Source organism: Homo sapiens, chromosome 14, assembly GCF_000001405.40.
Source record: "Homo sapiens chromosome 14, GRCh38.p14 Primary Assembly".
In the NCBI taxonomy this organism is placed as follows: Eukaryota; Metazoa; Chordata; class Mammalia; order Primates; family Hominidae; genus Homo; species Homo sapiens.
The window spans coordinates 41,650,837-41,676,708 of NC_000014.9; the positions used below are offsets into that span (position 1 = coordinate 41,650,837).

The following is a 25,872-nucleotide window of genomic DNA, read 5'->3' on the forward strand; positions in this document are numbered from 1 at the left end:
TAGACTACACATGTAATGCAATCTCATTAAGCAACAAAGAGACAGAGAAAGAGAGAGAGAGAGGGAGGGAGGGAGGGAGGGAGGGAGGGAGGGAGAGGGAGAGGAATATGGCGTTTATGCAGTGACTAAAAGATACATACCAAAATCTTACAAAAAAGATGCTGAGTCTATAAATTCATTTTCTTCCTTGTGTTTTTCTATATATGAAATAAGCATGTTTTAATTTGAATTTGGAAAAAGATAAAGCTATTTCTATGTATTGTCTCATATATTTAGACATGAAGACAACAGATACATTTTGTGCTCAAGCTCATGGCAAGGGAGCAAATTGTGTATATTATTTGCTATCACAGCACTCTCATGGATTTTTAACAACCAGAAACAATTTGAGCTTCCTTTGTGGAAACTTTAAATGAATATTAAAATTATGCTACAAAAATGCCCGGTCACTCAGCTAACCTGAAATGGTAGTTCTCTAACTCTGGAGTTTTCTGTTACAAGTACTGAATCTCAAAAGGAGAACACTCTCAAACTATGCTTTTGAGATGGTCCCTGAGAAAATGTATGTGAGCAAAAAATGGAAAAACAAGATTAAATTTTGATGTACACTTACAGAAAGAACTTGAAATGGAAAACAAAAACAAAAACCTTTCACATTTATTACCAGGTAGTTGTAGTGTAGGTAATTCTTTACATGATTCTCTAATTTCTCCATGTAGTTATGTATCTGATAAGCCTGGAAAATGCTGCTAGAATAAACCATCCTTTAGAAAGAATTAAAAATAGACATTCAAATACTAATGTGAATCTTAACACTTTTGTTGTGAAGTTGTTAATTCCAAAAAGTGTAACTGAGCCACAAATTTTACTAAGCAAAGCATACTATATTGGATGATTCCTATTCTCAGCTATTTTCATTTGCCAGAGCTACGAAGCTTATTTGCAAAGACTAGATGGCTTAAATAACAGAAATTTACTTTTTCACAATTCTAGAGACTAGAAGTACAAGAACAACGTGTTGGCAGGGTTGGTTTCTTCTGAGGCGTGTTTCCTTGGCTTGTAAATGGCTTTCTTCTCCCTTTGTCTTAATATGTCTGTCTGTGTCATAATCTCCACTTCTTGTATCAATACCAGTCAGACTGGATTAAGATCCATTCTAGTGACTTCATTTTAAATAATCTCTTTAAAGACCCCATTTCCAAATACAGTCACATTCTGGAATACTAGGGGTTAGGACATCGACATATGAATTTGAGGGGAGCACAAACAAATTGAAGGAATGAATGACTGATGTATAGATAAATGAATTAATTTTTCTAATATTAAAATTGTTTTTAATATATTCAATTAAATATGCATAAATATTAATAAATTATTGAAAATTAGTGATATAATCTTTCAACATCATATTTTAATGTAGCATGTTGACAATATTATATCATTTCTATGATATTCCTAGAAGTGTAAAATGTAAGGAAAAATTTTGGATAAAGATGAATTTTTTTTGTGATATGCAATCATTGTTAAATCAATAAGTCAGTTAACAAATAATTGTAGAGTGGGCTAGGCGCTGTTCTCATTACTTAACGTAACAATAAATAAAGGAGATTGAGGCCTTGCCTTCAAAGCATTAACAAACAAATTAGAATATAGTAAATAAATGTGCAAGCCAATCAATAAAATAAGTTTAGCATTTAATATTCTACAAGGAAGAGAATAAAATAGAAAAATATGACAAGGAGTGACAGGCTGGTTTCTACTAGGACCAGGGAAAACCTCCTTCAGCAGATGAGCTGGGAGTTCTGACCTACCTGATGAGTAGGCTTTTTAGGCAAAAATAACAAGAGTAATTTCTCTTAAAATGCAATGTTCCTGTCTTTAGGTCTTTGAGGAATTGCTGCACTATCTTCCAAAATGGTTGAACTAATTTGTACTCCTATCAACAGTGTATAAGCATTCCTTTTTCTCCACAACATCACCAGCATCTGTTATTTTTTTTCCTTTTTAATAATAGCCATTCTGACTTGTGTGAGATGGTGTCTCACTGTGGTTTTGAGTTGCATTTCTCTAATGCTCAGTATTGTTGAGAGTGTTTTAGATGATTGTTGTCACATGTATGTCTTCTTTAGAGAACTGTCTGTTCATGTCCTTTGCCTACTTTTTAATGAGATTGTTTGTTTTTCTTCTTGTAAATTTGTTTAAGTTCCTTGTAGATGCTGGATATTAGACCTTTGTCAGAGGCATACTTTGCAAAAATTTTCTCCCATTCTACAGGTTGTCTGTTTACTCTGTTTATTGTTTATTTTGCTACGAAGAAGCTCTTTAGTTTAGTTAGATCCCATTTGTCAATTTTTGCTTTTGTTGCAATTGCTTTTGGCATCTTCATCATAAAGTCTTTGCCTGTGTTATTTTCCTAAGTGGTATTGCCTAGGTCATCTTCCAGAGTTTTTATAGCTTTGGGTTTTACATTTAAGTCTTTAGTCCATCTTGAGTTAATTTTGTATAAGGTGTAAGGTAGGGTTCAGTTTCAATTTTCTGCATATGGCTAGCCAGTTCTCCCAGCACCATTTATTAAATAGAGAATCCTAATATTAAACTTTCAGCCTCCAGAATTATGAGAAATAAATTTCTGTTTTTTATAAGCCAACATGCAGTTTTTCTTAAGTTCCCTTAAGTGTTTAAAGGATGGAAACAAGGTGATTGTGACTGAAATGAAGCAAACAAAGTATGTAGAGGGAGAAACTGAGTTCAGAAAATATTTTGGCTTATACTAAAAAGTTTAGATTTTATTTTAAGTAAAATTTTGTCGCATTGAAAGTTTGAGGCAGGAGAGTAACTGGTCTGCATAAATACTTAAGAAACATCACTATTGCATAGAAGGGAGGCAGGATGGGAGATAGGTAGACCACTGAAATTGCTTCTATAGTGCTACAGGGAAGAGGAAAAGATGGCCTTAAGAAGGGCTGGAGAAGCAGAAAAGGGGAGAAGTCATCGAATTTGGGATTTGCTTTGAAGATACAGCTGACAGGAGTAACAGGTTAATCAGGTGTGTTGTGTAAGGGGAAAGAAGTAATCCAAGATGAATCTGACTTCTTTTTGGTTTTAATAACTGTATGAAAAGTAGCACTGCATGTTCTCACTCATAGGTGGGAATTGAACAATGAGAACACTTGGGCACAGGAAGGGGAACATCACACACCAGGGCCTGTCGTGGGGTTGGGGGAAGGGGGAGGGATAGCATTAGGAGATATACCTAATGTAAATGATGAGTTAATGGGTGCAGCACACCAACATGGCACATGTATACATATGTAACACACCTGCACGTTGTGCACATGTACCCTAGAACTTAAAGTATAATAATAATAAAAAAAAAGAAAAGTAGAACCAGTTCCTGGGAGATATTCTGAGTGAGGGTGGATTGGAGGAGACATGACATGTTTTATTTTGTCAAATTAATTCTGAAATGGAGAAGACAATAGGTAATAGGATGTGAGCTTTGTTCTCAGAGAAGAGTTCCAGGCAAGAAGTCTGAGTTTGAGAGTTTTTAGCATGTACATAGTATGTACATAGTGCATATTTGTATGTACATAGTTTTTAATATGTACATATTAAATCCATAGGAAACTGGAAGAAATCACATAGTTTGAGTTCAGAAAGAAAAAAGAAAGGGTTCTAGGATCGAGTTGAAGGGCTTAGAACACTTTTCAGGTTTGGAGCAGAAGGAGGTCTCAGTAAAAAACATTCCATGAACTAAAAGAATCCTGAGTATAGGGACTAGGAAAACTCAATACATTTTCAAGAAGAGAGAATAATCAATTGTGTCAAATTTTATTGCATGGTAGAATAAGAAGAGATAATTTATCATTAGCTTTGGCAAAATGTAGATCTTTGGTGTTCTCTAGGTTTATCAGTGTCTTTTTTAAACAGCAGTCTTATAAAAACAAGTAGAAACCAGGGAGGGTTGGACCTTCCCACAGTACTGATATTGTAGTAGCATAGGTAATTTTAGGTCACAGAATTATTTTTAGAGAGATACCACATGAACAGTAGTATAGTTAGTGGTTAGGTGCTACGCTCTGCAACCACATGGCACAGGTTTTCTTCAATATCTGCCATTCTGTACTTTTGTGATTCACATAAGTTATTCTGTCTCTGTATGCCACTGCCTGTGTCTCTTCATCTCTAAAGGATGTATACTGTAATGCTTACCTTGTTTGGGTTGTTAATTCAGTCGTTTGTTCAACATGTTTATGTTGAGCATCTGGTTTGTGACCTATACTCTTATAGCTACGTACAAGACAAACTGTCTATGGAGCTTCCATTGGTGTAGGGGAGATAGACTCCCCTCCTCTCCAAACAAGCAAACAAATAAAATACATGTGCAGCTGCTAATAGATTCTAGGGAAAAATGAATCTGGATCAGAGTGGGAAGCTGTTGGAAGGGTTATTATTTTATATAGACTAGTGGGAGAAATCCTCACTAATAATATTTGAACAGAGACCTGAAGAAGATTAGAGACTAAATCGTAAGTATTCTAGAAGAGAAAACAGCAAGCATACACCCCTTAGAAAAAAAGCATGTCTAGAATGATTTAGGACAAGCAGCTAGATTAGTGGAGCTAGACCAAAGAGAGGCCTGATCAAGAGGTATAAATGAAGAGATCATGGAGGGCCTTTTGGAACTTGGTTAAGGCTTGTACTCTGTGTAGGATGGGAAACCATTAGAAAGTTTTGAGAATAGTAGTGACACCATCTGACATGGTTTAAAGAGATTATTCTGGTATTGGGTTAGGGAATAGGCTTAAGGGGACCTGCTTAGGAAAAAACAGAGGAGTTTGGAGGCTATTGCAGTAATTCTGGTAAGAGAAGATACATATGTGATGTAGGCAGTGGGAGGTGGTTAGATTCTACATATATTTTGAAGCTGGAGACCACAAGATTTGTGGATGGGTTAGACGTAGAGTGCAGGAAAATGAAAGAAATCAAGCATGATCTCACAGTTTTGAGCTCTGTTGTTGAGATGATGATAAGGATTACATAGTTCATATAAAGCATATTAAATTATGCCTAGCACATAAGTGCTCAATAAATATTAGCATTTAATATTTTTAAGTGCTTATTAGTTATTTTGCACTTTTATACTTTTATGTATTGTTTTAATGCTTTTGACTTCTAGATTTCAAGTTGAGTGTAAACTTAATGCCATTTCCTTTCAGTGGTAACCATCTAGCTAAATAAACTTGAGTAATGTAGTAATCTTAGTGCCATTGCCTTGGACTGAAATTGGCATATAGTTCACTTACTGCGTAGCTATGGGCAAATCACTAATCTCTCAATTTCATCTGCTCTGAAATGAGGATAATGATATTTACCTCCCAAGGCTATTATGAAAATTAAAAAATATCCAGATTCAAAAATGAAAGTCACTGCAAAGTATGAGTTATTGCAGTTTTTATTGTTGCCTACACTCTGAGAAGACTCTTTATGCTAATCCTACCCACTTAAAGGCATGAAAGAAATGAATTTGAACGCATTAGTTATTCACACCGAATTTTATTCTTGTTTGGTAGTATTTGAATGTTTTCCTTGGTGAGATTTGTTTTTATATTTCACAGTTTGAGATTTATTGAGACCTGATCAGCTTTATTGAGCCACTTTTTAAAAGATTTGATGAATTCAAATCTTCCAGTCAGGATGAATATTGGGCATGAGAAGGGAGTATAGGGGAGGGGAACAATTTAGACGAGATCTGTCTAAGGCATTCAACTGAAGAGTGCTTCATACCTTAGTGTACTTTAGATAGATACTCCCAGAGTACAGTGATCAAACCCATTGTTATGATTCAAATGCTCAGCAAATCAGTGTCCCATAATTACTGGAACATAGAAGTCATTTCCTTTATAGGGGAGGAAGAGCGTTGATCGCTTATGTAAAGCTTGAGAAGACTGAGGGATTGAAAGTGTGACATTATTTTATTTCAATTATTATATCCATATTGAGACTGAAGGTGGGAACAATTCTATATGTTTTTCCTCAGCCAGATAGGAATACGTAGCATTATCTGTTATTTGTTCATTTTTTTATATCATTTTACCACTCATAGACAGTTCTCCACGTGGATTCGTTTTAAAGTAAAAACCCTTATCCTCAATCGTTATGTTTCTTAGTCATATATTATTATTCCTAATATATAGAAAAGGGAATTGAGGCCAAGAGAGACTAAGTCATAGGATCATTTGTTTTCAAGGGAAAGAAATGAAATACATCTTTGTTTTCCAGCCTCTCATCTATATCTTTCTGCTATGTTTCTGATCTACATGTTTTGCATTATGAAACATTGTCCAGTTAGGTAAAAGGATTTTCCTAATTAGCAGAAAAAAGTTGATATTTCAGCTTTTATGTTTATTTATAAATGTTTTATAGGTAAGTGGGGCTATGTTTTTATTTAATTTTACCCACAAGATGGATACAGGATAATTTTAACATCCTGTTCTTAGTAAGAGTCTGGAGGACACCTGTATATTTATACTGTCCATTTCGGTTTTATCTTGAATGATGTAAAAGCGAGTGGAAGATTCCCATGGTTGTCACTGGAATTAACACTGTGCTCTGACCCATCTCAGAAGGACATCAGAAAGGCAACATTTTAAAATTAGTCTCTACGAAAATAGTTATTGCATTTGATAGGAAGCTCATAAGGTAATTTGGAAAATTTCTTTGTAACTAAGAAAAATGCCTTTTAAAACCTTTTGATTTTACAGGCACCTTATAATATGTGAGAAATAGTCAAAGCCATTTAAAGTATTTAAGGACTTATGACTTGTTAGACACCTTTGTGATGATATAATAAAACCAAACTAACGTACATACCCATAGTCATTTTTAAAAGCTTTCTTATTAAAGGCATGAAATTATTTAATAAACCTTCCCAATTCATCTCCTTTGTCAAGGGCATCCTGTGGAATTGTTGGTGAACCTTAAATATATTTGGCATAAGGAATATTCTTGCTTTCTCTCGCATAGAAACTGGAATTAGGAATTGCTTCAGTAAGGTAAAAGAGCTTGTTGAAAACCAGCTTGGGAGAAAAAGAAAAAAAAAAAACCTCTGACCTATGTCAACATTTTTTCAAGTCTTTATTATTAAATTCATGTGTATTCTACCTGTTTACAAAGCTCTAATCAAACATTTAAAAATACCTTATGAGTAATTAAAGGAATGAAAACATTTTTCTTAAATCTTATAGCTAAAATATGATTTTTTTGAAGGTCACATGCTGATAGGGTAAGTCATGTTACAGGAATTAGTAAATCATTTTGGTCTCAATGGAGACAATAGCTTTTGTATTTGTTATTTCAATAAGGTATTGAAAACACATTTGTCAGGAAAGACTGACCTTGCAAAAACACCAGACTAATTTTCCAATGAAGAGGGACTGGCATTTTTATTCATAGGAGTGTAAAAAGAAAATTAAGCTATAATTTTACTTGATACATTCCTGATCAGTGTGTGATTGGCACTTATACCATCTTCCTTTAATCATGACTTAATTAATACATGGAACTTTGTCCAGGGAAAGAGGTGAATAATAATTCATTGATGATTCAGACATTCACTTCTCACTTTCTTGAAAGTAACCTCTATGAACTTGTAATATATTTTTCAAGTTATTTTTCTTTCCATCTGTAGCATATAATTTATTTCTAATATATCAAATTTTCTCATATGTAAATAAGAAAAACTTATAATGCACTTCATAGAAGTTTTACCCATATAGCCAATGATACGCAATTATCCTATTAAAAGGTTACATTACATCTACTTTGAAATTTTTAGCATATTTTCCCAAATACCTTAATGTCATATAAAATTTTTCTCACTGATTATTTTTCTTCTTGAAGAAGTGAAAATATATTTACTGTTAGTTAATATTAACTATGACCTTGGATATGATGTATCAATGGTCAATATATTTTAATATGTGTAATTTTTATTAACTAAATCTGTGATTCCTAATAATAGATCTGAAGATCAAAGTTGGTTTATCTAATTTATCAAAACTTCAGTTTCACTTACTTAACTCATTATCTCATTCCTTAATTGTTCTCTTTTCCTGCCTGCCTCTCTGTATGCTACCGTGTTTTCTTTTTTTCTTAGCCCCTAAAATTTCTTTTGGCTCTATTACAACCAACTCTTTTTATATTTTTTATTATGTAATGTTTATTATTATTATACTTTAAGTTCTGGAGTACATGTTGAGAACTTGCAGGTTTGTTACATAGGTATACATTTGCCATGGTGGTTTGCTGCACCCATCAGCCCATCATCTACATTAGGTATTTCTCATAATGCTATCCCTCCCCTAGCTCCCAACCCCCAACAGGCCCCAGTGTGTGATAATCCCCTCCTTGTGTCCATGTGTTCTCATTGTTCAACTCCCACTAATGATTGAGAACATGTGGTGTTTGGTTTTCTGTTCCTGTGCTACTTTGCTTAGAGTGATGGTTTCCAGCTTCATCCCTGTCCCTGCAAAGGACATGAACTCTTCCTTTTTTAAGGCTGCATAGTATTCCATGGTGTATATGTGCCACATCTTCTTTATCCAGTCTATCATTGATGGGCATTTGGGTTGGTTCCAGGTATTTGCTATTGTGAATAGTGCCACAATAAACATATGGGTGCATGTGTCTTTATAGTAGAATGATTTATAATCCTTTGGGTATATACCCAGTAATGGGATTGCTGGGTCAAATGGTATTTCTGGTTCTAGATCCTTGAGGAATCAACACACTGTCTCCCACAATGTTTGAACTAACTTACACTCCCACTAACAGTGTAAAAGCATTCCTCTTTTTCCACATCCTCTCCAGCATCTGTTGTTTCCTGACTTTTTAATGATCGCCATTCTAACTGGCGTGAGATGATATCTCATTGTGGTTTTGATTTGCATTTCTCTAATGGCCAATGATGATGAGCTTTTTTTCATATGTTGTTGGCTGTATGAATGCCTTCTTTTGAGAAGTGTCTGTTCATGTCCTTCACCCACTTTTTGATGTTTTTTTTTTTTTTTGTAAATTTGCTTAAGTTCTTTGTAGGTTCTGGATATTAGTCCTTTGTCAGATAGATAGATTGCAGAAAATTTCTCCAATTCTGTAGGTTGCCTGTTAACTCTGATAATAGTTTTATTTTATTTATTTATTTTTTATGAAACAGAGTTTCTCCCTGGTTCCCAGGCTGGAATGCAATGGCATGATCTTGGCTCGCTGCAACAACTGCTTACTGGGTTCAAAGGATTCTTCTGCCCCAGCCTCCTGAGTAGCTGAGATTACAGGCACCTACCACCATGCCCAGATAATTTTTGTATTTTTAATAGTGAGGAGGTTTCTTCATGTTAGCCTGGCTGGTCTTGAACTCTTGACCTCAGGTTATCCACCCACCTTGGCCTCCCAAAGTTCTGGGATTACAGGTGTGAGCCACCACACCCAGCCATATGACTAACTCTTATATCTTAGTCAGTGCTTCTATTTCAACCCCAAACCCTGCTGGATCAAAATGTTTGAACGTTTGCAAACAGTAGTTATGCGATGGATTACAATTGTATCCTGGTCTACAAACCTGAATTTACAATTACTAATATTAGAAAACATGCTGTTGTTGTCTACATAGCTGTGCCAGCATTTTCTATGCATGTTTAGAAGACTGGCTTGCAGAGGATTTTAAAGAGTTATCCCTTTATTGTAGACATTGGAAACAGTTTGTCTGTTATTCGTGTATATCTCAACAGCTTAAATATATCAGTGGTTCTGAAATGATAGATGAATAACTATCCTGGAGTGCTTGTAAAGATACTGATTGTTGGCCGAACATTCCAACTCAGTTAAGTATTGGATGTGACTTGGGAAACTACAGTATTAATCAGAATCTCAAGTGATTCTGATGCATGTGGCCCATGGATCACTCTCTTTAATATATATATATTCTCTTTAAATATATATATATATAATTTTCTATGAACTATTTAGAATGCATAGTTAAATAAATTAAGATACTTTGGCCAAGTTCAAACAGCCATTACTGTTTTTCTCTACCTAATTTTAGTTATAATAGCTATAGCTCCAATCTTGGGTTTATTGCGCTTATATATTTTTGCACCCTTGCATGATTTGGAATTATTGTTATTCATTCCTATGAGGTACAAATAATAGATGCTAATCTCGTATGGGTCAGAAGCAAATTTACTTGCATGTATAGTACTAGTTCTTTCAACTTACCAACACAAAATAAATCCTTTAGAGATTAAAGAGATATTGTAGACAACTTGTTTCTAATCCCTTCTTCCTAATTGAAACTAAAATCTCATCTTATTGAAATATTTATTCATGAAACATAATCTAATCACTGGTATTGTCACTAGTAGAAAAGATAGGTCTCTTAATCTCAGTAAGAACTCTTCTCATTCAAGCAATATTTTTCAAATTTTGCTCTTCATAAGAAACACCCAGGATGCTTTTCAAAATGAGTATTCCTGGGTTCAAAATACTGCTGTAGTAAAAGAAGCATATAAATCTATCTTGTTAACAACCCTCAAGGGTGATTTGAATGTAAGTGGTTCAAGGCCTACATTTTGTGAAATAATGTACAATATCCTGCTAGAAGGGTTGAAGAGTTAAATAAATAAATAATTAAAAGTAGGGCCAAGTAACTAAGAGTAAAGTCATTTAGCTGGGCCCTATGACAGGCCCTAGGGCTAATACTCATAGTCCTTATGACTGAAGAAGCCCGCTGATTAGCAGTGGTGGCAAATAAGAAAATCAATCACTTATCGTGTTAGGTGATGTGGAGCACAGAGAGAGGAGCCTCCAGTAGTGAAGAGTGTCAATAAGGCCTTTAGGAAAAACATCCCAGAGAAGGTGACCCTAGTGGCAGGAGCAGAATGTGGGGAAGGTTGCCCTAGGCACCTTTGAGAGTAATTTGTGGGAAAAAATAGAACAACAATAAACCTATACCAAGAAAAATTTGCAATGAGAGAAAGCCTGACATAAGGGGTTATTATAGAAGTTAATATGTGTACTTAGCACTGATTAAAAGCATTCATTAACTACTTATCATTATTTGTACTACTTGTTTCAGCAGAGGGCTGAAAAGAGAAGAGTATCCCATGAATGACATTGACAAGAGAAGGGGTGGGGGCTGCTGAAGCTTCAGACTGAGCAGCAAGCACAAACTTAGGGTAGGTGGTGTCTGTAACTCTCTTTTATGAACTCACAGATAACAGGGCCAGCTTTATTCAGGGGCCTGGGCCTGAGCCTCTGAGAACATGAAATTTCAAGGAGGGATCATTAAGAGTATCAAATATTGTAGAAAGGTCAAATATGAATAAGAGCTGAGACGTCTCCTTCACATTTGGTAGTTAGTTATTCATGACATTGTTCCTAACCACCTACGTCAGAATAATTTAGGAATGCTTATACATATTCAAATCCCTGCCTTCTAATTCGGGACTATTAACTTAGAATCTCTGGGGTATGTGACTTAAGGATATCCATTAAAAAAATAAGAGATTATTTTGTACCCTGGAACTTAAGAACCAGTAAACTAGAGAGATAGATATATTTTGCTACATGATAGGACTACAACCAACTGTAAAATTTTAAATAGTACAGATATAAGAGGAAATGGAGATAAAACAAGTGCAAACAAGATTTGTCATTAAAGCAAGACAGGAGGATAATTAAAAAAATATGGCTGGGTCCACAGCCAAGCATCTATTGTGGGCCTGGAGTTGCAGTTGGTCAGCAGGGCCACCAATCAGGAAAATCAGCTGTACATGGAGTAGAGGAGAGTGTAAACTACCTGGAACCCATGAAGCATCTCTGCAGCTGTTTATCATCACATCAGTCTATGAAAAGATCTTCAGGGAGTGCTGACAACTGCTTCACTTCTGCTTTCTAAATTTTGTGAAAATTCCACAACTGACTAACCTGCACAACACAAGGAAGGGAATTCAAATTCTGCATCCATTGATCCCAGTTTAACCAAGTTGCACAGCACAATATACCCATTACTGACATTGCCAACCACCTTCTTTACATTTATGAGTTAGAGTGGTTTCACATATCATATGAAATTGTACCTTGATAAGACATGTGAATCATAAGGGTGGTTTACCACCACTACTACTAAAAATAAGTAGCATTTATTAGCTACTTAGGATCTGCTAAGAACTGTGGAAACTGTTTACATGCAGTTTAATCTAATTTCATATGTATAGAAACATGAGAGGTGACTAACATTATTTTTCTAACATGTCTTTTTATTTAAAAAATGCTAATTTGTTAGGCCAAGGGGCGTAGCCAAACCGCCGTGCTGTTGAGAGTAGAATCAGCATTTGATGATTGACCCAAATAGTGGTGAGAAGAATGTTCAGAGTTCAGATAGGTGTTTACACTTCCTTGTCAGAGAGGACTCACTTGCATCCTTTGATGTCAGTAGATTGGTGTTTAACAGAAAAGCCAACCAGAAGGTCACAGCTTAGCAAAAAGGACTTTGAGGTATAGAAAGAGCCTCACAGGACTGTAAGACCTGATAGGAGGTGAATTTTATGCATTGGTGTTTACAGGGAAGTAAGTCTTCTAACTTCTATATTTACTATGAACCCTTTGTGTAAGAATAGAGAGGAAAGAGTGCCTACCAAGATTTAGTTATTAGAAAAAAATAAGAATAAGGGAGGATTACCTTGAATGGAATCTCATTTTCCTCCGTGAAGACATTACTCATATGTAAAGCAGCTGCTTGTGAGACTTACCTCATTCTTCATTTGCCAGCATATCCTGGCAGCCCATACTTAGTTATGTATGCATCGATAACCTAGTGATGATTTGGCAGTGATTTATTCTTCTGCACTCTGCAACCTGGTCTCACAAAGGGGAACACATATTTATAGACTTGGAGTTAGAAAACATGGTAAGAGTTGCTAGTTTCAGGAGAAAAATATTAAATAATAAGATGAACTCATATAAAAATGAAATAAATAGTTTTTTTAAATGAAAAACCTCTCATATAGGAGAGAGATAACTTGATCAATACACATTAACAACTAGAAATAGACTTATATTGGATTACAATCATCGTATTCACAGTATGAATTGCAATGTTTTCTGTTTCTTGTCCTCATCCCCCATTTCCTACTTAATAGTCTCAAGTGTTATAAACATTCAGTGTATACCCTCTGTCTCACCTTCCCTCATTCCCAGAAACATAACTACAAAATTAAACTCTCCCTACAAGTGTTTGCAAATCATGTGTAGGTGAGACACGAGGGAGTAAAAATTATAATAAGAATTTGCTGTCATGGGAAGTTGCTAAATTTTATGAGTGATGTTGTACCTTTAACTTAAAATACTATCAAGAATAGCTAATAAAATCATATTTAAAACTGCTAAATTTCTACTACTTCCCTAGTTATAAGTGGTAACAGATGACACAGGATATTGCTTATATCAATTTTCAGTTGTCTGTGCCATCATTTTGTACATTTTTCCTTGTGACAATTTTTCTTGGTGGTATCTACTCCTGATATTAACAGGTTTGAATCTCACCAGTTTGAGAATTAACTAAGTCCTTATTTAAGAACTTGGGGGTATGTTAGCATGAAATCATTTTAAAATTTTCTTTCTAGGCTGGGCAGAATGGTTCATGCCTATAATCCCAGTGCTTTGCAATGCTGAGATGGGAGGATTGCTTGAGGACAGGAGCTCAAGGTTACAGTGAGCTATGATCACACTACTGTAACATAGCCCATGCAATTAAGTGAGAACCTATCTCTGAGAAATAATGAAAAATAAATAAAATTTCCTCTCTAATCCAATGACATAAACAAAAAAAAGTGGCAAAAAATTATGCAATATACATTCAATCACAAAAATGATTATTTTTCTACTCTGAGAGAGTTCTTTAAAAATTCTTTTCTGATTAGCTTCTTTCTCCTAACATGTTGGTATTGATTGATTTGAGGTATGGGCCACACAAATCAATACACAAGAAGACAAGTTGTATGTGATGACAGTAATTCTATCCACAGGATAACTGCCAAATATCTGGGTACCAATGATTGTATTTCAGCCAGCTGGTCAGCACATGATAATTTGTCAGTAAACCATTTTGCTGTCTTTGACTTCTAAAATGCTTATTTTCTTCAAAATATATATTTTGCTTATTATATCAATATTATATGTATCCAAGACTAGAAAACTTGAAAATTTTTATTTTTTAATTTGGCATCCTTTTCTGACAATTTTTTTGTTTTTAGAAAAAAAAATGGTCTCAAATTTCTTATGCTGTCTGGTTTCCAAAATTGTTTTATGCAAGAAGGTGCTTATGGCCAGATATAAGACTAATGACCCACTTGCTGTAATGTTTTCCAATGAAGAAATTTATGTATGTGAAGGATAAAGAAAACAAAGAAAAAAAAGAGTAACAAATTAGAAATTAGAAATTTATATAAGGGATTAACAAATGAGGGATGAGAGGTAACATTCAGATAATTTATAGAACATGTAACTAGGTGCACTTTAGAAATGACTACCCTCCATCCAGTGCAGGAAACTCATCTGGGCATTTTCTGCCAGCACTTAACTCATTCCTTTGATTGACAGCATTAATTGTTAAGCAGTGAAACACATTTTATATGGGTACGAAATTATAATTATCATAGTTACAGCAAAAGTATCATAATAAGACAGACGTATTTGGGATTTTCAGCTCACGAACAAGTAAACTTTACTATAATAGTATCCTGTTTAGGTTTGTGTCTCTTACTGCTCTGACATTTTTAACATAAATATATAATCTCTTATTTCAAAAGCTACTACTAGGATAAAGTTAAAACTCCATACGTAGAGGAAAACTGGGCATTTTTTAAAGTGCTCACTTCAATTTTAATGTGTAGACCCGATACATCTTATTCACTTAAATTATAATAACAGATATATTTAGCCATTTCTAATTATAATTTAAATCCAATTATATTACTATGTAAAATTTTATTTTTATGTCTGTTTTATGTTCAATTATGACTGAATATTTCATCAAACTTGGGTTACTAACTTTGTTGTCAAGGAATATTTTCTGTATTTCGTGTATTAAATAGTTGTGTATTAGTGTATGAATATTTCATTTTAAACAAGACAGTTTCTTTCAGAGACCATTTCTCCTTTAAATTTTAACTAGCATTCTCTTCACATAAAAATTCATTTTACTAACATTAAAAAGGGGCTAGAAGCAACAGAAGTCACATATTTCAAGAGTTTTAAAAATTATCTTATCTGAATTTGTCTAGGTACCTTTGAAATAAAACTGATGAGTGATGTGTTTAATCTCTACTTCTACTTTTTCTCATTTTATTGCAGCCCTGAAGAGCACTTGTGGTTACAAGACATTAGTAATTATTTGAAAGAGCTCCCCAATTAAAAAAAATCTCAAAAAATTCTAGCCTTAGTGAAAATTACTAGTATTATCCCCATTTTTCAGCAACGGAAATGGATATTTATAATGTTTAAAGTATCCTGCACTGGGCCACACTACTCAGCAAAGATGATCCATCTTAGTGTTTAGCATTCTGGATGAATATTTCAAATCATCATGACTACTCCTGCTAAATGGCAAAATGATTCATACTATAGATTTTGCATTTTTTTCTGTAATTCCTCATGGCTATTTTTAAGTAGGAAGCATGCACATTTATGTGGAAAAATGCAAGATAGAGTTAATTTTCAATGGATAAAACATTTTATACTTGGATTTCATTCTTTTAAGGTTTCAATTTCGTGGCTAAGGCATTGTCCAACTAACAGAAATAAAAAGGCCAAGATAAAGTCTTGTTCCTGTTAAATTTTTTTGTGGAATATGAAGTTCTTTGGATGAGCTCTTCAGCCATTTCTCACTGCCCAAGAGTGACAGAAAAGAGAGATGAGAAGTGCTAGCTAGATCTAAGGAGGGAAGGCTATGCAACAGTGATAGTTAACCTAAATTGCAATAAATGGACTCTTCCTTCAATTTGACCCATATAGATTCACAATTTATTTTTGATATTTCTTTACAAGAATAAGAACATAATGATTATACAACGTTATAGAGTTTTGTAGGATTTTTATTGTATTTCTATTTCTTATTTCACTTTTTAAAAGTCTACTTTACAGTCTTAACAATTTTATTTTAACAATTAGAGCAAAAGCTGTATTTAAGCTTTAAGAATTCGTAATAGTTCATACTTTTGGTTAAAACAAGACAAAGAATTAGTGGGTAGTCAGGATCAATGTAAGGAAAGCGATGAACTGTTAGTTTAGAGAAGAATGTTTATGGCTTCAATTTGTAATGTAGGCTATCACTCTGCTTTGTTCTTTCCTCACGCTACATTCCTGAATTTCTCATGGGTATTTTTACTGCACACACCTAGATTGTAGTCAATTCTTGATAAAACCTGAATTAAATCAATGGATTCATCCTATATTCAGCAAGGAGGATTTCTGATAAAGTTGTTATATTTTAGCAGTGCTGTCTAATACAGCAGCCATAGCCATGTTTGCTATATCTAGCACTTGAAATGTGCCTCGTGTGACTGAGGAACTGAATTGTCAGTTCACCTCCATGTGGTTAGTGGCTAACATGCTGGACAGGGAAATGTGTAGCTCTAGTGCTCAGAAGAGGCTGCTGGTGTCCACGCTCCTGCCCCTTTCCTGAATCTATAGATTGCTAGTTCTTTGGTAAGACTCATCAATCCCTGCCTCATTGATGAATTTAAACATTCCTTTTTCCCTAGTGTCAGCCTATCCTGAATGGGTAGACCTCTATCTATAAAATTCTTTGATTAGCCAGTATCTGTTAATGGGCCTGTAGCTTTGGAATGCTGGTGGCCTGTCTGTCTGCCTTCTCTTTTAATTAAGATTGGATCCTATTCTTCCCAATGCTGAATCACACTGACAACTACTGAGCATGGCTTCTGACAGTTTATACCTATTTATAATTAGTTATTTGTGATTCTTGAACATACAAGTATTTTTCAGTGTGCAATGGCATCTTGACTGTGCTCCTTAGGAGATCCCTGCATACCAAACCTGGTGATGAAGTTACTATTCTTCATTTTGTTATTGCACAGCTGGGTCAAGACTGGCTGTAGAACTTTGGGAAGGTCGAACCTTGTGCTTCAGCTCTCTCACTTATAAAGTGGAGGCAATAACAGTATCTTGCTTGTTTGGTCACTTGAGAAATAAATGTTAATATAAGGGAGGTGCTTAGAATAGCATATAGTGATTGCTGTGTAGATATAGCCATTAATAACAATATTACTGCAGTTTGCATCAGTACATCACATCCCATCAAAACTATTTGATTATTTTCACTTAACTCTTCACATTTATTATGTGTCTGAGTATCACAAAATAAGCCTCTTTTATATTTATTTTTATAATCTAGATTGAAAATTTTGTAGGAAGAATTAGGAAAGAGATCATATTTATATATTCAATTTCAGGAACTTGAAATTTGCTTTCAATACTCAATTTTTATCCCAAGCTCCCTACTTTATAACCTTGGACAATCACACATATCTATGCATTCTTTTTTTTTCTCCTTCACTCATGTTGTATCACCCCTCCTATCCCACATTACTACGTAGTCAAATAAAAAATCCTGGGTCAGCAAAATCCTCTTAGGAAGCAGTTTCAAACAACATCTGCTGTTAATTACACATGCTGTTATGGGTTTTAACCATGACTCCATAAAACTTCAGAATTTTTCAGACAAAATGCTGTCCCCAAGACTGCTTTTCACATCAGCTTATGTGAGAATACATTTTCTTTATGTAATTCCCCATCTGTATTAGAATTAGTAAGTCTCAGATTTGAAATAAGTTTTTTATAATTGATGTTTTCACCAGTTACCAAGCAGCATTTTTGTAATAATTGGATATCCTGAAGAATAATGAAGCCAAGAACCCCATGAGCTTATCTTCATTCAGTACTATGGATTTTATCTGTTGAACGTAGCTCTGACTTTTATTCTTCTAAAAATTCGATTTATATATAAATATAAATGTGCATGCACATACACCTTGGTAATTGCTTATGTACTTAAGCAATTATGATCTATATAAAGAAGAGAAAAAAAGTAGAAAATCAGGATGAATAATCTTGGCAGCTATGTAATAGAAATGTGTAATTTTGTTCATGAAGTTAAGTGACTAATTTGTATATGGTGTTGTGAAAAATGGATAGCCAAATAGCAAAACAAAAGGATCTATAGCTGAAACCATAAACCAATGTGAAGAGGTAAAACATTTATATGTAAAATATGAAGCCTTACTAATATAAGAGGAAAACATGAGGACATTTATAATCTTGCAGTTGTATAACTGCAACTCCAAAACTGGAACCCATACAAATCAGTTAGAAATAATCTGTCCAGAAAAAAAAAATTAAAGGAAAGATGAAAAATTATTTGCAATTAATAACACAGAAAGGGAAAATATGACTAAGATTTTCTAGAAGTCAAAAACAAAACAAAGTTTAAACCAATACAAAAAAGACAGATATTTAATACAAGAAAATGTAAAATAGTTATTTCATATAGAAAATTATATCTAACATTAGAATCCTATTAGAAATTCAAATTAAAGCAACAATGATTGAACTTTTTTTTTGAACTGTTTTTCTGTCTGTTGGATTGATAAGCATCTGTAAGCTTAACACATACTATTGGCATGGTTGTCGCTTGTGGGAATGTAAGCAATACATTCCACATGTAGGACAATTTTGAAAGAAGTATAATTAGTGAAACAATGTACACACTTTGACCCAGCCAGTTCTTACTGTAGGAATTTATTGCAGTTCTATCGTTGCATATGCATAAAATAATATGGGCACAGAAATTTTCACTTAACATTATTTTAATATCAGAAATAATTTAAATTTCCATAGTATTTGATGGTTAAACCAATTAAAGTATGCTCATAAAATGGAATGCTCTCTGACTCTAATAATTGAAAAAAGGAGTAGAGAAATTCACTATTTGGAAATGTGGAAAAGCATTCAAGCTATATAGTTAAATAAAAAAAATTTGCTATATTAAAGAAAAAAATAGTTAAAAATATAGTTAAAAATATAGTTAAAAAAATTTGCTATGCAGTATATAAAATATAACATAATACAAAAATGTATAATAAAATGTTTTACTATATGCACCTATATATACACATATATACACACATACATATCTATACATTCATATATATACATGTATATATACATTCTGTGTGTGTATATATATACATTCTGTGTATATATACACATTCTCTATATATATATACATTCTCTGTGTGTGTGTGTATATATATGTATACACACACACACACACACATACACACAGATATATATATATATATATATATATATATATATATATATATATATATATACACACACACAGAAAGAACCCCTGGAAGGAAGAATATATATTATTAAAGGTGATACATGACAATTAGTTATATGAGCATAGAGATGAGATGAAAACTTTTCACTACGTAATTTGTATATGTTTTTGATTTATGACAGTTTAAATGCATTAACCTATTTAAAAATCAATAAATTGAATTATAGAATGCTTAATTAGGAAAATATCCCTTTGAGAAATTCAAAATAAAAATTATATTTATGTAGCTTATCTTTCAAGCCACTTATAACACTATTAATTTTATTTATTATGTGTGTAGAGTGAACCTTTTGGCCTCTGAATTTAATTTTTTTGAAATTCATCTTTGGTTGTATCCAGTTGAGTTATAAAATCGTAATTCCTCACTGAAATAGGCTCAGGATTTATCCATCATTTTTATTTCAATAGATAGCCAAATAAGACCCAGGAAAATTACTTTTGCATAATGTCAGAAAGCAAAGTACTAGGAGAAAACACACTAAATTTTCTGTTTTTTAACTTCCAGCCATTATTCCCTTAATGATGATGAATTCTGTTACATTACACTACACTATTATTTCTTATATGTTCTATTTCACTTTTAAAAGCTTCTGTTTTATTATTTTGTAAAAACCTTGAACTGACTTTTCTTTGAGGACAACAATGTTAGCAAAATAGAATGTGAAAGTTTCAAACTAAGATATATTAACATCTATTTTTAGAGTAACCATTAATATTTAGAATATAAAATTAATATTTAATTTTCTTCTAATTATTAGACTGCAAAAGTCATGCTTGTAAAGGAAATTTATTTTCTAATATGAGATTTCTTTGAAAATAGAATGTCTATTTGTCTACTTTACAAAGTCATGAAAAGAAATTAATATTATCAAGGCATTTTATAGTTTAAAAAGAAATTAAGTTCTCAATATCGTAATCATCTAAGATGAGAATATGGACTTATCTTCCTAAAGTTTAAATATAATGTCAATTGCAAACTAATAATTATCTTTAATCTAAAAGTGAAGGGCAACACACTAATATTTTCCTCTTTAAAATATTTTACCCCATTCCTAACAATTTGTTTGTTGCTCTGACATCTTTCTAGCTATTTAAGCTTGTCATCTTTATTTGTTCACTCCAGTCTCTCATCAAGCAATTAATCTTTATTTTCTTTGCAGTACCACTTTGAACAATTCACCTCTTTTCAAAGTGGTTAATTAAATCTTAAAATATTACTTCGTGGTATCACTTCCAAGCTCAAGAACTTCCAATAGCTCACCATTGTGTGGATGTGGAGGAGAGATTTTTTTTTTTCGTTTTTTTTTTTTTTTTTTTTACGGAGTTTCCTCTTATTGCCCAGGCTGGAGTGCAATGGCACTATCTAGGCTCACTGCAACCTCTGCCTCCTGGGTTCAAGCTATTCTCCTGCCTCTCAGCCTCTAGAGTAGCTGGGATTACAGGTGTGCACCATCATGCCCGGCTAATTTTGTATTTTTAGTAGAGACAGGGTTTCACCATGTTGGCCAGGCTGGCCTTGAACTCCTGACCTCAGGTTATCCGCCCGCCTTGGCCTCCCACAGTGCTGAAATTACAGATGTGAGCCACTGCGCCCAGCCATGAGATCAAATATTTCATAGCCAAATCTTGATTCAAAACCTATTTACTAAGCATCTAACCATGTTCAAGGTCTAACCATGCTTATTTACCTGATTCTTAATAGTTATCTTTCCATAAGCCAGAAGTTTAATCTATATTCAAATTCTGATTCTACTAGGTGCCTTAGGGCACATATTCCTTTCTTAGCTTCCTCTTTCTGTTTATTTTTTAAATTGGAATAATAAGCATTCCTTCTTACCTCACTAGACGTTAGGATTAAGTTAGGATAACACATGTAACATGCTTTAGAAATACAATTGGCATTAGGAAGTACTCTGATTTATTAGCTATTTTTATTACCTTCTTTTTTGAAGTGTCAAAGTTGTTTGATTTCTCCGATAGGTTCCTTTGTGTCTCGTGTAAGATATCATTCCTCCTTCTCTTTATTTATTAAAATTCTATTCTTTTTTCAGAACATAGTTTAAGTGCCTCCTTTCTGATATATACTTCTCTGTGTACTTCAACTAGATATCTAATGGCATTGGACTGAAAATTATACTTAGCTTTTAATCAAATACTTCTTAGGAGTAGTGATGATGTTTTTAGTTATTTGATTTCATCTAATGTCTGGGTGCTCAGATGTCTTTCAGAAGTAGACTATTAGAATCAATAAAGTAACAAATTTCTTATGTGTCATGCACCCATTTCATGGACTCCAGTTTTAAAAAGTTATAACCTTTAATCTTTATCACTCTCTCAACCAAAATGTCTCTCTGTTTTTACATGAAACTCATTGAATCTCCCTTAAATATAGGAATCCTTACCCTGGGATTTGTGGATGGGTTTCAAGAGGCACAGAAAGCCTCTGAAACTATCTATAGACTTTTGAGTATGTAAACAACATGTATTTTCTTCAAGAGAAATGATGGACACACAGAATAGTAGGAATTATTTTAATGATTTATTGTTTTTATCTATGCCTTTAAAATAAATAGGGACAAAACTAAGAATATACAATTTAATCAACACTGGATATTGTATCATATTATATAAATATATCCTATTTTTCTACACCATGCTTATGAAAGATCTACACTAAGTTAAATATATGAGATTTTTATGATTTTGTTATTTATTTATTTATTTATTTATTTTTTCACAAGGCAGAAGAATTTTTCTTAGTACAGAACAAAATGAAAAGTCTCCCATGTCTACCTCTTTCTACACAGACACGGCAACCATCCGATTTCTCAATCTTTTCCCCGCCTTTCCCCTCTTTCTATTCCACAAAACCGCCATTGTCATCATGGCCCGTTCTCAATGAGCTGTTGGGTACACCTCCCAGACGGGGTGGTGGCCGGGCAGAGGGGCTCCTCACTTCCCAGTAGGGGCAGCCGGGCAGAGGCGCCCCTCACCTCCGGGACGAGGCGGCTGGCCGGGCGGGGGGCTGACCCCCCACCTCCCTCCCGGACGGGGCGGCTGGCCGGGCAGGGGGCTGACCCGCCCCCCACCTCACTGCCGGACCGGGCGGCTGGCCGGGCGGGGGGGCTGACCCCCCCACCTCCCTCCTGGACGGGGCGGCTGGCCGGGCAGAGGGGCTCCTCACTTCCCAGTAGGGGCGGCCGGGCAGAGGCACCCCTCACCTCCCGGACGGGGCGGCTGGCCGGGCAGGGGGTGACCCCCCCCACCTCACTCCCGGATGGGGCGGCTGGCCGGGCAGGGGACTGACCCCCCCACCTCCCTCCCGGACGGGGCAGCTGGCCGGGCAGGGGGGCTGACCCCCCCACCTCCCTCCTGGATGGGGTGGCTGGCCGGGCAGAGGGGCTCCTCACTTCCCAGTAGGGGTGGCCGGGCAGAGGCACCCTTCACCTCCCGGACGGGGCGGCTGGCCGGGCGGGGGGTGACCCCCCCCACCTCATTCCCGGATGGGGCAGATGGCCGGGCGGGGGGCTGAACCCCCTACCTCCCTCCCAGACAGGGCGGCTGGCCAGGTGGGGGACTGATCCCCCCACCTCCCTCCCGGATGGGGCGGCTGGCTGGGCGGGGGGCTGACACCCCCACCTCCCTCCCGGACGGGGTGGCTGCCGGGCGGAGACGCTGCTCACTTCCCAGACGCGGTGGCTGCCGGGCAGAGAGGCTCCTCACTTCTCAGATGGGGCGGCTGGCTGGGCGGGGGGCTGACCCCCCCACCTCCCTCCTGGACGGGGTGGCTGGCCTGGCAGAGGGGCTCCTCACTTCCCAGTAGGGGCGGCCGGGCAGAGGCGCCCCTCACCTCCCAGACGGGGCGGCTGGCCGGGCGGGGGGCTGACCCCCCCACCTCCCTCCCGGACGGGGCGGCTGGCCGGGCAGAGGGGCTCCTCACTTCCCAGTAGGGGCGGCCGGGCAGAGGCGTCCCTCACCTCCCGGACGGGGCGGCTGGCCGGGCGGGGGGCCGACCCCCCCACCTCCCTCCCAGATGGGGCGGCTGGCCGGGCGGGGGGCTGACCCCCCCACCTCCCTCCCGGACGGGGCGGCTGGCCGGGCAGAGGAGCTCCTCACTTCCCAGTAGGGGCGGCCGGGCAGAGGCGCCCCTCACCTCCCGGACGGGGTGGCTGGCCGGGCGGGGGGCTGACCCCTCCACCTCTCTCCAGGACGGGGCGGCTGGCCGGGCAGGGGGCTGACCCCCCCACCTCTCTCCAGGACGGGGCGGCTGGCCGGGCAGGGGGCTGACCCCCCCACCTCCCTCCTGGACGGGGCGGTTGGCCAGGTGGGGGGCTGATCCCCCCACCTCCCTCCCGGATGGGACGGCTGGCTGGGCGGGGGGCTGACCCCCCTACCTCCCTCCCGGACGGGGTGGCTGCCGGGCGGAGACGCTCCTCACTTCCCAGACGGGGTGGCTGCCGGGCGGAGAGGCTCCTCACTTCTCAGAGGGGGCGGCTGCCGGGAGGAGGGGCTCCTCACTTCTCAGACGGGGCGGTTGCCGGGCGGAGGGTCTCCTCGCTTCTCAGACGGAACGGCCGGGCAGAGACGCTCCTCACCTCCCAGACGGGGTCGCGGCCGGGTAGAGGCGCTCCTCACATCCCAGACGGGGCGGCAGGGCAAAGTCGCTCCCCACATCTCAGACGATGGGCGGCCGGGCAGAGACGCTCCTCACTTCCTAGATGGGATGGCGGCCAGGAAGAGGCGCTCCTCACTTCCTAGATGGGATGGCGGCGGGGCAGAGACGCTCCTCACTTTCCAGACTGGGCAGCCAGGCAGAGGGGCTCCTCACGTCCCAGACGATGGGCAGCCAGGCAGAGACGCTCCTCACTTCCCAGACGGGGTGGCGGCCAGGCAGAGGCTGCAATCTCGGCACTTTGGGAGGCCAAGGCAGGCGGGTGGGAGGTGGAGGTTGTAGCCAGCCGAGATCACGCCACTGTGCTCCAGTCTGGGCACCATTGAGCACTGAGTGAACCAGACTCCGTCTGCAATCCCGGCACCTCGGGAGGCCGAGGCTGGCGGATCACTCGCTGTTAGGAGCTGGAGACCAGCCCGGCCAACACAGCGAAACCCCGTCTCCACCAAAAAATTACGAAAACCAGTCAGGCGTGGCGGCGCGCGCCTGCAATCGCAGGCACTCGGCAGGCTGAGGCAGGAGAATCAGGCAGGGAGGTTGCAGTGAGCCGAGATGGCAGCAGTACAGTCCAGCTTCGGTTTGGCATCAGAGGGAGACCGTGGAAAGAGGGGACAGGGAGAGGGAGAGGGGAGAGGGGAGAGGGGAGAGGCGATTTTGTTATTTATTGTATTTATTGCATATGAGGGCCTAAATGAATAAGCCTTTATTTCCCTGCCCACATTTGACTAAATGAAATTTCTGCTTTACAAATATTAATGATGATCAGTTGGCTTCCAACATAATGTAATAATGAGCTTTGCAGAACTCTCTCCAGCAAAACAATAATTTAACCAGTGAAAATTATAAAAATGATAATCACCTAAAGCCTGTGAAAATTACCTAAAGGGCATTCAGCAAACAGATAAACATTCATTTGAGAAAATCTACAATAACTTTATAAAAACAGCGAGGGACTGCTTTGTTTATGACTTGCTTCGTTATTACCACCCCACCACCAGCAGCTCCATGATACAGATGGGTGTGAGCAACCAAGAAGGGAAAGCTCCCTTTTCCCTACATCCAGTCTGGGGCTATGGTTTCACCCTGGGAGGGGCAGGCTGATAGTGTCTCTCATCACCCTCTTGCCAAATGTTGCAGAAGCCATATTTCAGCAAATGCCCCTTCAATGACTGTATCTTCTTTTTGCATGTAGTCTCTTGAATTCCCCTCTCTCAACCTTCTACAGCAGAAGTTCCACATTTCTGAAGAAGCAAGCTGAGAAGACCAGGGGCTACTTCCCCTTGTGGTGCTCACTGCTAGTGCCCACTCTGCGGATCAAGAGTATTACCTTGAGAAAAGCAGCAGTGGCCTATATGGCTCTGCCTAGAAAAAAAAGGCAGACCTTAAGCTCAGAAGCCACTGTTGAAGGATTTGACTTTGCAAAAGAGAGTGGAGAACTCCTTACCTAAGAGTGTGTCAAGAACAGTGGGCATCTTGGTTGAGAGAAACTAAGAGGAGGCTGGAAGCTTTGATAATGAACAAAATGTCAAAGAAACAAAAAATTCAATGGTGGTGAGAACCAGGGAAACAGACAACTAAGAAGAACCCTCCTAGGTTTTCAGTCAACTCTCGGGGTCTGGAGAATGTTGTTCATATGTTCTAGGCAGCATCCACTTAAGAGCAATTAGAGAAAGATGTGGAACAGACTCGAAAGCATCCACCAACCTGCACAAAAGAC

At 37.6% G+C, this 25,872-nt stretch overlaps 1 protein-coding gene across 6 annotated transcripts in view; it reads left to right on the forward strand.

Moving 5' to 3' along the window:
- LRFN5 (leucine rich repeat and fibronectin type III domain containing 5) overlaps positions 1 to 25,872 on the forward strand; it is a 297,674-nt gene that overhangs the window by 43,961 nt on the left and 227,841 nt on the right. The gene's annotated exons all lie outside the window — the stretch shown is intronic.